At 40.9% G+C, this 13,865-nt stretch overlaps 1 pseudogene across 1 annotated transcript in view, besides 2 other annotated features; it reads right to left on the reverse strand.

Annotated features, from left to right (window-relative positions):
- Positions 1-13,865, reverse strand: part of OFCC1 (orofacial cleft 1 candidate 1 (pseudogene)) — a 506,631-nt pseudogene that overhangs the window by 261,487 nt on the left and 231,279 nt on the right. The gene's annotated exons all lie outside the window — the stretch shown is intronic.
- Positions 4,691-5,301: an enhancer, noted in NCBI's record as "H3K27ac-H3K4me1 hESC enhancer chr6:9971388-9971998 (GRCh37/hg19 assembly coordinates)". NCBI's record gives its function as "activates a minimal SCP1, AML or CMV promoter by ChIP-STARR-seq in naive and primed H9 embryonic stem cells {active_cell/tissue: H9 hESC(naive and primed)}" and the evidence as "EXISTENCE:reporter gene assay evidence [ECO:0000049][PMID:30033119]".
- Positions 5,302-5,912: an enhancer, noted in NCBI's record as "H3K27ac-H3K4me1 hESC enhancer chr6:9971999-9972609 (GRCh37/hg19 assembly coordinates)". NCBI's record gives its function as "activates a minimal SCP1, AML or CMV promoter by ChIP-STARR-seq in primed H9 embryonic stem cells {active_cell/tissue: H9 hESC(primed)}" and the evidence as "EXISTENCE:reporter gene assay evidence [ECO:0000049][PMID:30033119]".

Genomic DNA, 13,865 nt, shown 5'->3' on the forward strand with positions numbered 1-13,865 from the left:
TCTTTGCTATTGTGAATAGTGCCACAATAAACATACGTGTGCATGTGTCTTTATAGCAGCATGATTTATAGTCATTTGGGTATATACCCAGTAATGGGATGGCTGGGTCAAATGGTATTTCTAGTTCTAGATCCCTGAGGAATCGCCACACTGACTTCCACAATGGTTGAACTAGTTTACAGTCCCACCAACAGTGTAAAAGTGTTCCTATTTCTCCACATCCTCTCCAGCACCTGTTGTCTCCTGACTTTTTAATGATTGCCATTCTAACTGGTGTGAGATGGTATCTCATAGTGGTTTTGATTTGCATTTCTCTGATGGCTAGTGATGATGAGCATTTTTTCATGTGTTTTTTGGCTGCATAAATGTCTTCTTTTGAGAAGTGTCTGTTCATGTCCTTCGCCCACTTTTTGATGGGGTTGTTTTTTTCTTGTAAATTTGTTTGAGTTCATTGTAGATTCTGGATATTAGCCCTTTGTCAGATGAGTAGGTTGCGAAAATTTTCTCCCATTTTGTAGGTTGCCTGTTCACTCTGATGGTAGTTTCTTTTGCTGTGCAGAAGCTCTTTAGTTCAATTAGATCCCATTTGCCAATTTTGTCTTTTGTTGCCATTGCTTCTGGTGTTTTAGACATGAAATCCTTGCCCACGCCTATGTCCTGAATGGTAATGCCTAGGTTTTCTTCTAGGGTTTTTATGGTTTTAGGTCTAACGTTTAAATCTTTAATCCATCTTGAATTGATTTTTGTATAAGGTGTAAGGAAGGGATCCAGTTCCAGCTGTCTACATATGGCTAGCCAGTTTTCCAAGCACCATTTATTAAATAGGGAATCCTTTCCCCATTGCTTGTTTTTCTCAGGTTTGTCAAAGATCAGATAGTTGTAGGTATGTGGCGTTATTTCTGAGGGCTCTGCTCTGTTCCATTGATCTATATCTCTGTTTTGGTACCAGTACCATGCTGTTTTCGTTACTGGAGCCTTGTAGTATAGTTTGAAGTCAGGTAGTGTGATGCCTCCAGCTTTGTTCTTTTGGCTTAGGATTGACTTGGCGATGCGGGCTCTTTTTTGGTTCCATATGAACTTTAAAGTAGTTTTTTCCAATTCTGTGAAGAAAGTCATTGGTAGCTTGATGGGGATGGCATTGAATCTGTAAATTACCTTGGGCAGTATGGCCATTTTCACGATATTGATTCTTCCTACCCATGAGCATGGAATGTTCTTCCATTTGTTTGTATCCTCTTTTATTTCCTTGAGCAGTGGTTTGTAGTTCTCCTTGAAGAGGTCCTTCACATCCCTCATAAGTTGGATTCCTAGGTATTTTATTCTCTTTGAAGCAGTTGTGAATGGGAGTTCACTCATGATTTGGCTCTCTGTTTGTCTGTTGTTGGTGATAGAATGCTTGTGATTTTTGTACATTGATTTTGTATCCTGAGACTTTGCTGAAGTTGCTTATCAGCTTAAGGAGATTTGGGGCTGAGACAATGGGGTTTTCTAGATATACAATCATGTCGTCTGCAAACAAGGACAATTTGACTTCCTCTTTTCCTAATTGAATACCCTTTATTTCCTTCTCCTGCCTGATTTCCCTGGCCAGAACTTCCAACACTATGTTGAATAGGAGCAGTGAGAGAGGGCATCCCTGTCTTGTGCCAGTTTTCAAAGGGAATGCTTCCAGTTTTTGCCCATTCAGTATGATATTGGCTGTGGGTTTGTCATAGATAGCTCTTATTATTTTGAAATACGTCCCATCAATACCTAATTTATTGAGAGTTTTTAGCATGAAGGGTTGTTGAATTTTGTCAAAGGCTTTTTCTGCATCTATTGAGATAATCATGTGGTTTTTGTCTTTGGCTCTGTTTATATGCTGGATTACATTTATTGATTTGCATATACTGAACCAGCCTTGCATCCCAGGGATGAAGCCCACTTGATCATGGTGGATAAGCTTTTTGATGTGCTGCTGGATTTGGTTTGCCAGTATTTTATTGAGGATTTTTGCATCAATGTTCATCAAGGATATTGGTCTAAAATTCTCTTTTTTGGTTGTGTCTCTGCCCAGCTTTGGTATCAGAATGATGCTGGCCTCATAAAATGAGTTAGGGAGGATTCCCTCTTTTTCTATTGATTGGAATAGTTTCAGAAGGAATGGTACCAGTTCCTCCTTGTACCTCTGGTAGAATTCGGCTGTGAATCCATCTGGTCCTGGGCTCTTTTTGGTTGGTAAACTATTGATTATTGCCACAATTTCAGCTCCTGTTATTGGTCTATTCAGAGATTCAACTTCTTCCTGGTTTAGTCTTGGGAGAGTGTATGTGTCGAGGAATGTATCCATTTCTTCTAGATTTTCTAGTTTATTCGCGTACAGGTGTTTGTAGTATTCTCTGATGGTAGTTTGTATTTCTGTGGGATCGGTGGTGATATCCCCTTTATCATTTTTTATTGTGTCTATTTGATTCTTCTCTCTTTTTTTCTTTATTAGTCTTGCTAGCGGTCTATCAATTTTGTTGATCCTTTCAAAAAACCAGCTCCTGGATTCATTAATTTTTTGAAGGGTTTTTTGTGTCTCTATTTCCTTCAGTTCTGCTCTGATTTTAGTTATTTCTTGCCTTCTGCTAGCTTTTGAATGTGTTTGCTCTTGCTTTTCTAGTTCTTTTCATTGTGATGTTAGGGTGTCAATTTTGGATCTTTCCTGCTTTCTCTTGTGGGCATTTAGTGCTATAAATTTCCCTCTACACACTGCTTTGAACGCGTCCCAGAGATTCTGATATGTTGTGTCTTTGTTCTCGTTGGTTTCAAAGAACATCTTTATTTCTGCCTTCATTTCGTTATGTACCCAGTAGTCATTCAGGAGCAGGTTGTTCAGTTTCCATGTAGTTGAGCGGTTTTGAGTGAGATTCTTAATCCTGAGTTCTAGTTTGATTGCACTGTGGTCTGAGAGACAGTTTGTTATAATTTCTGTTCTTTTACATTTGCTGAGGAGAGCCTTACTTCCAACTATGTGGTCAATTTTGGAATAGGTGTGGTGTGGTGCTGAAAAAAATGTATATTCTGTTGATTTGGGGTGGAGAGTTCTGTAGATGTCTATTAGGTCCGCTTGGTGCAGAGCTGAGTTCAATTCCTGGGTATCCTTGTTGACTTTCTGTCTCGTTGATCTGTCTAATGTTGACAGTGGGGTGTTAAAGTCTCCCATTATTAATGTGTGGGAGTCTAAGTCTCTTTGTAGGTCACTCAGGACTTGCTTTATGAATCTGGGTGCTCCTGTATTGGGCGCATATATATTTAGGATAGTTAGCTCTTCTTGTTGAATTGATCCCTTTACCATTATGTAATGGCCTTCTTTGTCTCTTTTGATCTTTGTTGGTTTAAAGTCTGTTTTATCAGAGACTAGGATTGCAACCCCTGCCTTTTTTTGTTTTCCATTTGCTTGGTAGATCTTCCTCCATCCTTTTATTTTGAGCCTATGTGTCTCTCTCCACGTGAGATGGGTTTCCTGAATACAGCACACTGATGGGTCTTGACTCTATCCAATTTGCCAGTCTGTGTCTTTTAATGGGAGAATTTAGTCCATTTACATTTAAAGTTAATATTGTTATGTGTGAATTTGATCCTGTCATTATGATGTTAGCTGGTGATTTTGCTCGTTAGTTGATGCAGTTTCTTCCTAGTCTCGATGGTCTTTCCATTTTGGCATGATTTTGCAGCGGCTGGTACCGGTTGTTCCTTTCCATGTTTAGCGCTTCCTTCAGGAGCTCTTTTAGGGCAGGCCTGGTGGTGACAAAATCTCTCAGCATTTGCTTGTCTGTAAAGTATTTTATTTCTCCTTCACTTATGAAGCTTAGTTTGGCTGGATATGAAATTCTGGGTTGAAAATTCTTTTCTTTAAGAATGTTGAATATTGGCCCCCACTCTCTTCTGGCTTGTAGGGTTTCTGCCGAGAGATCCGCTGTTAGTCTGATGGGCTTCCCTTTGAGGGTAACCCGACCTTTCTCTCTGGCTGCCCTTAACATTTTTTCCTTCATTTCAACTTTGGTGAATCTGACAATTATGTGTCTTGGAGTTGCTCTTCTCGAGGAGTATCTTTGTGGCATTCTCTGTATTTCCTGAATCTGAACATTGGCCTGCCTTGCTAGATTGGGGAAGTTCTCCTGGATAATATCCTGCAGCGTGTTTTCCAACTTGGTTCCATTCTCCCCATCACTTTCAGGTACACCAATCAGACGTAGATTTGGTCTTTTCACATAGTCCCATATTTCTTGGAGGCTTTTCTGGTTTCTTTTTATTCTTTTTTCTCTAAACTTCCCTTCTCGCTTCATTTCATTCATTTCATCTTCCATCGCTGATACCCTTTCTTCCAGTTGATCGCATCGGCTCCTGAGGCTTCTGCATTCTTCACGTAGTTCTTGAGCCTTGGTTTTCAGCTCCATCAGCTCCTTTAAGCACTTCTCTGTATTGGTTATTCTAGTTATACATTCTTCTAAATTTTTTTCAAAGTTTTCAACTTCTTTGCCTTTGGTTTGAATGTCCTCCCGTAGCTCAGAGTAATTTGATCGTCTGAAGCCTTCTTCTCTCAGCTCGTCAAAGTCGTTCTCCATCCAGCTTTGTTCCATTGCTGGTGAGGAACTGCGTTCCTTTGAAGGAGGAGAGGCTCTCTGCGTTTTAGAGTTTCCAGTTTTTCTGTTCTGTTTTTTCCCCATCTTTGTGGTTTTATCTACTTTTGGTCTTTGATGATGGTGATGTACAGATGGGTTTTTGGTGTGGATGTCCTTTCTGTTAGTTTTCCTTCTAACAGACAGGACCCTCAGCTGCAGGTCTGTTGGAATACCCTGCCGTGTGAGGTGTCAGTGTGCCCCTGCTGGGGGGTGCCTCCCAGTTAGGCTGCTCGGGGGTCAGGGGTCAGGGACCCACTTGAGGAGGCAGTCTGCCCGTTCTCAGATCTCCAGCTGCGTGCTGGGAGAACCACTGCTCTCTTCAAAGCTGTCAGACAGGGACATTTAAGTCTGCAGAGGTTACTGCTGTCTTTTTGTTTGTCTGTGCCCTGCCCCCAGAGGTGGAGCCTACAGAGGCAGGCAGGCCTCCTTGAGCTGTGGTGGGCTCCAACCAGCTTCCCGGCTGCTTTGTTTACCTAAGCAAGCCTGGGCAATGGCGGGCGCCCCTCCCCCAGCCTTGCTGCCGCCTTGCAGTTTGATCTCAGACTGCTGTGCTAGCAACCAGCGAGACTCCGTGGGCGTAGGACCCTCCGAGCCAGGAGTGGGATATAGTCTCGTGGTGCGCCGTTTTTTTAAGCCGGTCTGAAAATGCGCAATATTCGGGTGGGAGTGACCCGATTTTCCAGGTGCATCTGTCACCCCTTTCTTTGACTCGGAAAGGGAACTCCCTGACCCCTTGCGCTTCCCAGGTGAGGCAAATGCCTCGCCCTGCTTCGGCTCGAGCACGGTGCGCGCACCCACTGGCCTGAGCCCACTGTCTGGCACTCCCTAGTGAGATGAACCCGGTACCTCAGATGGAAATGCAGAAATCACCCATCTTCTGCGTCGCTCACGCTGGGAGCTGTAGACCGGAGCTGTTCCTATTCGGCCATCTTGGCTCCTCCCGTAGTTTTTGTATTTTTATTAGAGATGGGGTTTCACCATATTGGCCAGGCTGGTCTTGAACTCCTGACCTCATGATCCATCCACCTTCGCCTCTGAAAGTGCTGAGTGATTATTCATTTTTTGAGCAAGAGGGAGGTCACATTTCTTATTACACAGAAACAGAATAACTTCCATTTCTGCAATATAGTTAGCAAAGTTGGGGGTTTTGTCTGGTTGGTTTTGTTTTTTTTGGGTTTTTTTGAGATGGGATCTAAATCTGTCACCCAGGCTAGAGTGCAGTTGTGCAATCACGGCTCACTGCAGCCTCAACCTCCCCAGGTTCAGGTAATCCTCCCACCTGAGCCTCCCAAGTAGCTGGGACTACAGGACTATGCCACCACATCTAGCTAATATTTTTGCATTTTTGTAGAGACAAGGTTTTGCCATGTTACACAATCTGGTCTCTAACCCTTGGGCTCAAGAGATCTATTCATCTCGGCCTCCCAAAGTGCCAGAATTACAGGCATGAGCCACCATGCCCAGTCAGGAAAGTTCTTTAATAAAGATTCCAAAGACAGACGCAAACATTTCACAGGCCAATATTTTTGCTAGTCACAAAGAACATGAACAAAAATACATTGTTTTTAGGATTTTGTAGGTGAAAAAGTAGAATTCTATATAAACTAGTATCAGCCTGGTGATGAATAGCCTTCATACGACAGAAAGATAAATTAATACCATCAATTATAATCTAAATTGCCATTTTAGACCAAAGCATTATAAATAACGAGATGAAAATTTAAGAAAAACAAAATGAATTTTCAAAATTATATAGGGCATTTTGTCCAGGTGAGGTTAATGTGGAAATTCAGATTAAGATAAGTAAATAAACATAAACAGGCAATTTGAATAGTTCTACCAAATCACAACACTCATAATAGAAGAGCTTTTCATCAGTATTACACACATTATTTCTTTGGCTTTCAATCAGTCTTGGTTAGTACAAAAGTAACCCTAAGTCTCTTCAGAAATAAAAGTATACCTAAGTAAGGAAAGGAAATTTTGTGAAGTTTATAAAAAATAAAAATGTGTTTCATTTTTCTAACACTTATTTAAAGAAATGGCTCTTAATTTAGAAAAATAATGTAAGGACTATTTCAAATATATTTTCTCACAACCCTATTTATTTTAAATATTTAAAGCTAGAGAACAGCTGAAGGAATAGTACAATAAACAACATATTCCCTTCACCTAGATTCAACAACAGTTATTTGCATATTTGCTTCAGCTCTGTGTATACTATATATATAATTTTATATCATTTTCAACATATTTTTGAAACTTACAGTACATTTTCCTCAAAGCAATTATTCCCTGTTCTTTTCTATCCAACTATTCAACAAATACCTGTGTCTATTAAGTTCTACGTGCTAATGCCACAGAGAAACAAGATTTTTCCCTGGTATTAAAAAGTATATGATCTACCGAGTGAAGAGAAACTCATAAACAAGGGAGATAAAGCTTAGCACGCTGGTAGGTGCTACGATAGACTTAGGTGTTGGAAACATCCGGGACGTGAGGGCATGAGTAAGTGGTCAATTCAATCCAGGGGAAACAGGGAAGAGACAGTATCAGGGAAGAGAGAGTATCAGGAAGAGACAAAGGGAAACACAGTGGTTTCCCTTTGTCAGCCAATTGGTTTTGCATATTCAGCCTGGCAATAAACGTCTTCTAAGGAAGCAAGTGAGACTGATATTATTTTGTCATTATCTGTGTCACCATCCCTGTTTCTGCTGTCCCATTTACCTCCAGCTGAATACACCAATGTCCTCCATGTGTGGGTTTAATACCTTTCCATTTCCTGAGTTGTGCAAATCAAATCAAGTCCAGCAACAAACTTGACCACAGCATTTCAAATCAAATTCCAGATCAGTGGTTATCAATGTTAGCCACACACTGGATTCGCCTAGGGAGCTTTAAAGATACTAATACTAGGTTCTACTCCTGGAGATTCCAACTTAATTGGTGTGATGTGGGACTTTCCAACAAATTATAATGTGAAACCAAGACTAAGAACTACTGTTGCGAGTCTCCAACTTCAGAATGCATGTAAATTATGTGCAGCTCTTGTTAAGATACAGATCTTGGCTCTGGGGTGGGGTCTGAGGTTCCGCATTTCTAGCACACATCTCCATGATGCCTATGCTGCTAGTCTGGGGAACCTGGTTTGAGCAGCAAGATTTTATATCATAAACTACTATTAGTAGCAAGATATTACTCATAAACTGATCACAGCTGCTATTGCCCAAGTTGTGGCAATGCCAGTCAGGTCCAAGGCCTCACCAGTGAGCCCACCATGCCAATGTTACCCCAAGCTGCAAGTTGAAAGAGAAGTCACTTCTAACACTTCTGATACCAAATGTGTGGGTTTTGGTTTTCACACCAAGCAATTCTCCAGTTATTTGTGGACACTCACTGGTGTCCTACAGTTTAACTCAATGTTCACACTAACCACTCAGAGGTAGCGTAGACCCCACAAGTTAAAGGCTCAGCCCCACAAGTCTGCCCCCTACTTCAGACACCAGTTACAAGTAGTAGGTCCCCAGGTCACCCACAGCTCCTGTCCAACTTGGCTGCAAGTTGGAGCCTCTCATGACCTCCCCCTCAAGTGGAATCATTTGCTATAACGGCTAACAGAACTCAGGGGGACACTTTGCTTGCTATTACTGGTTTAAGATAAGGGATACAGGTGAACAGCCAGATGCAGAGGTACACAACGCGAGGTCCAGAAGAGTCCCAAGCACAGGAGCTTCTGTCTCCATGGAGTTTGGATGCACCACGCTCCTTGCACATGGATCCATCCATCAACCCAGAAACCTTCCTGGGTTTAGTGGTTTTATGGAGGGGTTTAGGGGTTTTATGGAGGTTCATAACCTCATTGTTTAGGGGTTTTATGGAGGTTCCATTATGTAGACGTGATTAGTTAAATCATTGGCTATGGACGATCAGCTCAATCTCCAGCCTCCTCTCCTCCCTGGAGGCCAGGGATGTGGAGGAAGGGAGGGATGCTGAAAGTTCCAATCTTCTAATCATGGCTTGGTCTTTCTGGTGACCATCTTCCATCCTCAAGCTATCTAGGGACACCCAGCCACCAGTCTTCTCATTAGTGTAAACTCGGATGCATTTGAAAGGGGCTTATTGTGAATAACAAAACATGTTCCTTTCACCCCAACGCTCATCAGCTTATGAGTGTTTTAGAAGTTCTGTGCCAGGAACCCCAGCACTAAGACCAAATATGTATGTCTTATTCTATCATATCACACAAATCCTTTTCCCTCCACAGTTTATCTGCTCTAGTGGTACTTGAAGTCCCTGGACCAGTAGCATCAGTGTCTCCTAGAAACTACTGAGAAATGCAACTTCTAGGACCTCACCCCAGACCTAATAAATCAGACACTCTGGAGGTAGGGCACCACAATCTGTTTTAATATCTAGGGGAAGCTGATGCATGCTCAAATTTGAAAACCAGTGACCCAGTTGGTATATTTGTGGATCTTCCTTGCTGTCCTCTTCATCCTTCTGACCAACTATTCTAAATCAGTGATTCTACTTGATTGCATGTTAGAATCCCTTTGAGAACCCTTATAACATGCCTATGCCCCTCCCCTGAAGCTCTGGGAGTTGGACTCGGTTATGAAAATACGTGTGCAAGAGCTCACCGGGTGATTCTATTGTACAACTGATGCTGAGAAATTTTGTTTCGAATAATCCCCGGGAGATCCCTTGATACGTAATATTTTCCTTTGGCCAATCTCAGTTTCTGAAATCTAACTATCCACGAACACATTCTGCAGATTATCCAGTGCCTCCCTCGTCCCATACTGTTGACTGACCTCTAAGTCCCCTTTTGCAGTGCTTTGGGGTGAATATTACAGCTCAATTCCTTCCACCTTATTTGCTTAATCTAAGATTGGTATATCCTGGTAAGTAGAGCTTTTATATACAAATATCTTGGCTGATTTCATGAAGCCCACATCCCATCAGATTTCCCTCTGCATTCTCTATGAAGCCTCTTCTATTCCCTCTTAATGCGTACATCTTCCCAAAAGTCCCACTGAGCCATCTTCCTCCATTTGCCATCACACTGCACGGTTTCATATCTTTTATTTATTCGAATGCTTGTCTTTCCTTTCTAGACTATAAACCATTAGAGTGAAGGTAGATATCTTTCCTAGATCCAAGTTTTCACCATACCTAGAACACTGTGAATACTGTGCCTTCCAAAGGTTTGTGGAATAGAAGATAAATATCTAGTGTTAACTGTCCCCACAATCTTCATCAAATTGCTAGCCTTCAGACACTGTGCCTTAATTTCTGCCCTCCTCTTTTTGAGTTGTCTTTAACCAGTATGTTTCCCTAGCCCATTCCCTTGGCCCAGAGAATCAGCTTCAAATTTGGTCCCATCTTCTTTTCCAAGAACTCTTTGCAGCCTCAAAACACCATGGTTGAGTTAGAATGAGTACCCTTGAGAAGAGACTAATTCTGTAGATACATTCAGCAGTCATACTCTTCCGTAAAATATTTAATGTGCACATACTGTTTTCAATCAACAAGCAGATAATTAAGGCTTTAACTCTAGGTTTTTAAAATAAAAACATCATAGAATTACTGTATTTTCTCTCCCCTTCCCCAAAAGAGTCCATTATGCATATCTCCACTGCTATGATCTATACTCATCAATCAGATTGTTAGATCTTGGAACTTAGGAGAATATTTCTGTTTATTTTGACATGTAGAAATTCTGTTTAACCTGACCTGAAGAATTTCTCAAATTTATCCTATTTTGTTTAACTGATCATTTGCCTCTCAAAATATTATTTCTTTCAAGTATGCCATTGGTCAGATAGAGGGCTGTCTTTCTAGCTGCTGGGGTAGGACTAGAATCAGTTCTTTTTTTCTCTGAGTAACATAGTCTTTGCACAGCCTAGTAACCCATGGATAAAACAGACAAGCCTTAAGGTCACCTCTGGCCAGACCTCTCAGTGGTGCCTACAGGTTCCCAGTGAAATAGGCTCTACCTTGAACAGCCAGGGGAAGCACTGGTGGGCCTCAGCAAATAGAAAGGTGTCAGGACAAGCCTCTCTGAGACAGCTAGATATGGTCCCAACCCACAGTGAAGGTAACCAGGTATTCAGAAACTGGACTGACCAGGCACAAAGAAAAACAAAAACAAAAACAAACAAACACAAATAACTTTTCCAAATAAGCAGCTAAGAGTCAATCCCTTTCTTTCATTTCAAGTCTAGCATTTGTCTAAACTCAAAGTGCTCTGCTAAATCGTGTCAACTAGCTTTGTAACTAAGACCTGCAGGCTTTAATTACCTTAAGGAGAAAGTCTGGTGTCCAAAGAAAGCCTCATTACAAACTGGGTTTTGCTTGGGGGTGGGAGAAGGCCCAGGAATGAGGCTGTCTTGGGGATCCCCTGCCAAATCAAATATATCTTCATCCTTCATGGTGATGAGACTGGTGATCCACATAATTAATATAAGCTCACACAGAAGTAAACATGAAACGATTAAACAGGAAGCCTTTAACCAGGCAGCATGAAGCAGGGAGGTGGGGGAGGAATTAATGGATAACAGAGTCTTAGAAACACAGGCAAGTAGTACATGGTATTTTTAAATGAACCTTTGTTCCTGGACTAAAACCAAATGGCTTTTAAAACTTTTCTCTCCACAACAGCCTCGACAAGGTGGTTTGGAGCAGGTATTATGCCCAGAATATTTACATTCTGGCAGTTATAGCATAGCCATATGCTATAACTATATTTGATAAATGATATAGCAAATTCAAAAAGAAATAGTAAGAAAAATAGTAGTTGAATAATTTGTACTCCTTAAAGACTAAATTTGGAGGAACAGCAGATAGCTTGTGAGCCTACTATGATTGGCATTAAAACAGTAACTCTGTCGTGGTGGGCAGAGGGGGTGAGGGTAGGGGTCTTTATGTGTTGAATAGGGACCGGGCACCATGTGAACTGCTGGGAATATGTAATCTCATTTAACACTAAATACATCTTATTTGAACTCTCTGATATCATGCAATTTTTTTTTCTTGCAGAACACCCAGGGTTAATACATGGGCACTACTAAGCAAGTGAAGTTCAAGATATGCACGTCCCATTTCCAATAGATAAACTGCATGGAGAGGAGAAAACATAGTAACTGCAGAATCTCTTGATTAAAGCCTCCTTTTTAAAATTAGGCTTGCTTGCTTTTTTAATGTTTCAATTAGGGAATTAAGCTAAAAGGAAAAACTAAAATCTGCCCTGCAGTTTTCTGCATCAGGAAAATAAGTTGTGATAGGATGTCACTTTTGATCCTTTCTCAGATGATCTGAGTTATAAGTCACCCAGGGACCACAGTTTGGGTTTCATTAGCAGTAAGTCTAGAACATCTAAGTTCAGGACCTCCCTATAGAGCTTGACTGTGGGCTGTGGGCAAACACCTAGGGGCTACCATCACCAGCATGAGAGCCAGCTCAGAAGTCTTTTCCTGCCCCAGAAAAGAAGAATCACACCTTTGGCAGAGGCCTGAAGGCAGGATGAGTAATACCGTATTTATAGGAACCCCAAAAGAAACACCCCAAACCCTTCGGCTGTCGCCTGTCTCATTCTCTGCTGAAACGCCTATTGCATCATTTTTTTTTTAAGTCAAGCAAGACCCAGCATGTGGAGAGGAGGCAGTTGGCAATTTTGCTACTGTTCTAAAACACAGCCTTTGATGAAGCCATCGAATGGTATCCCCACTTGTACAGGTAAGGAAACACGAATTAGAGGAGGTTGACTTCCTTGTCTATTACCACACGAAGTAAGTAGGAGAATCATTTGAACTCAGGCAGTTTATTGTCAGGTATATGTTCTCTGCTCTTCCTTGTCTTGTCATGAGGGTAGTACCTGTTGTACATGGTTGGATATTAACCAGTGTAAACTGCCCTCCACCACCAGGAATACAGAAACATACCACAGCCAGTGGAAAATGAGAAAGATGAAAAAAGAGGGACTAGAGATTCCTAGCTAACATTGTAAACATTGTAACAGTGGAAACACTGCATCTGGAGGGATACAGAACTTGTACTTCATTTCTTCCTGAAATTTCAATCCTTTCCAGCTAATCTGGGTTTTTTAATTAAATATTAATAAAGAGGTATACTGGAGCCAGGTGAACCAAATTGATGTTTTCCTTCAAGATTCTAATGCACTTGCTTCAAATACTGGTGATGAACCCTTAAGTGGGGCCTGAACAGAGCCTGAACCCTTTGGGCTTACTGATGATGGGAGGCCTGATGTCCCTTACTTTCCAAGACTAATACAGATAAAAGAAACAGCCTAAGGGGAAATCCTACCAACACAACTCCTATTTTTTTAAATTTTGCTTTCATGAAGACTTCCAGCTCAGGATGATGGATCTGTTTTCCATAGAGAATTGCTTGTGTTTTCACATTCTCATTATATGGAAAGGGTGCAAGAAAGGAACAGAAAATAACCACAATAAAATTAGAAGAGCAAAGTATAAATTTTGAAAACTTGATGGAATATTTCTGGATGGCTTGCATTTTGAAAGCTCATTATTTCAGCTCCAAAATTAAATAAATATGGTTTTATTTGGACTAAATATAATTTTACAACCATAAAAACAGTTTTAGAACCATTTCAAAGGCTTGACAAGTTTGACCAAACTTCTTAAAACCATTCTGTCACCCAAAGGGCAGTGCAAAAGAATAGAGGAACAAAGTGTGCATAAAATGTTTCATTAAATAAGGGCAATTGGCAAAACCTTTAATCCACCACCTCACAGCGCTAGGCACACCCTCCAAACACAGATGATAAATAGGAACAACATGGTGAAGCTTTGGTCATGCGACACATCTGTTCACTTATTTGGGTCATGTTTTAGATTTGGGCATAACAAGTTTTGATTGTCTTTATGTACGGTGACAGCAATGTAATGAATGTTGTTTGAACTCTGAATTATATAAATACATAGACATGTTGATTTGAGAAGAGAAAACAAAGCATGTGAAAATTGGTAAAATACCCACTTCAAGAATTACAGATATTCTTCTTTAAAAAAAAAAAAAGAAAAGAAAGAAAGAAAGAAAAGACTAGCACGCAACTGGCAGACCACCCGTGAAGTGCGATTAAAATCTGAACATGAACAAAAGAGAATGTTCTCCAGTCAGTACAATTCCTAAAAGTATTAACTTTTAAAAGTTCTTCACTTAATCCAATGACCTTAA

This window comes from Homo sapiens, chromosome 6 (genome assembly GCF_000001405.40).
Source record: "Homo sapiens chromosome 6, GRCh38.p14 Primary Assembly".
Classification (NCBI taxonomy): domain Eukaryota; kingdom Metazoa; phylum Chordata; class Mammalia; order Primates; family Hominidae; genus Homo; species Homo sapiens.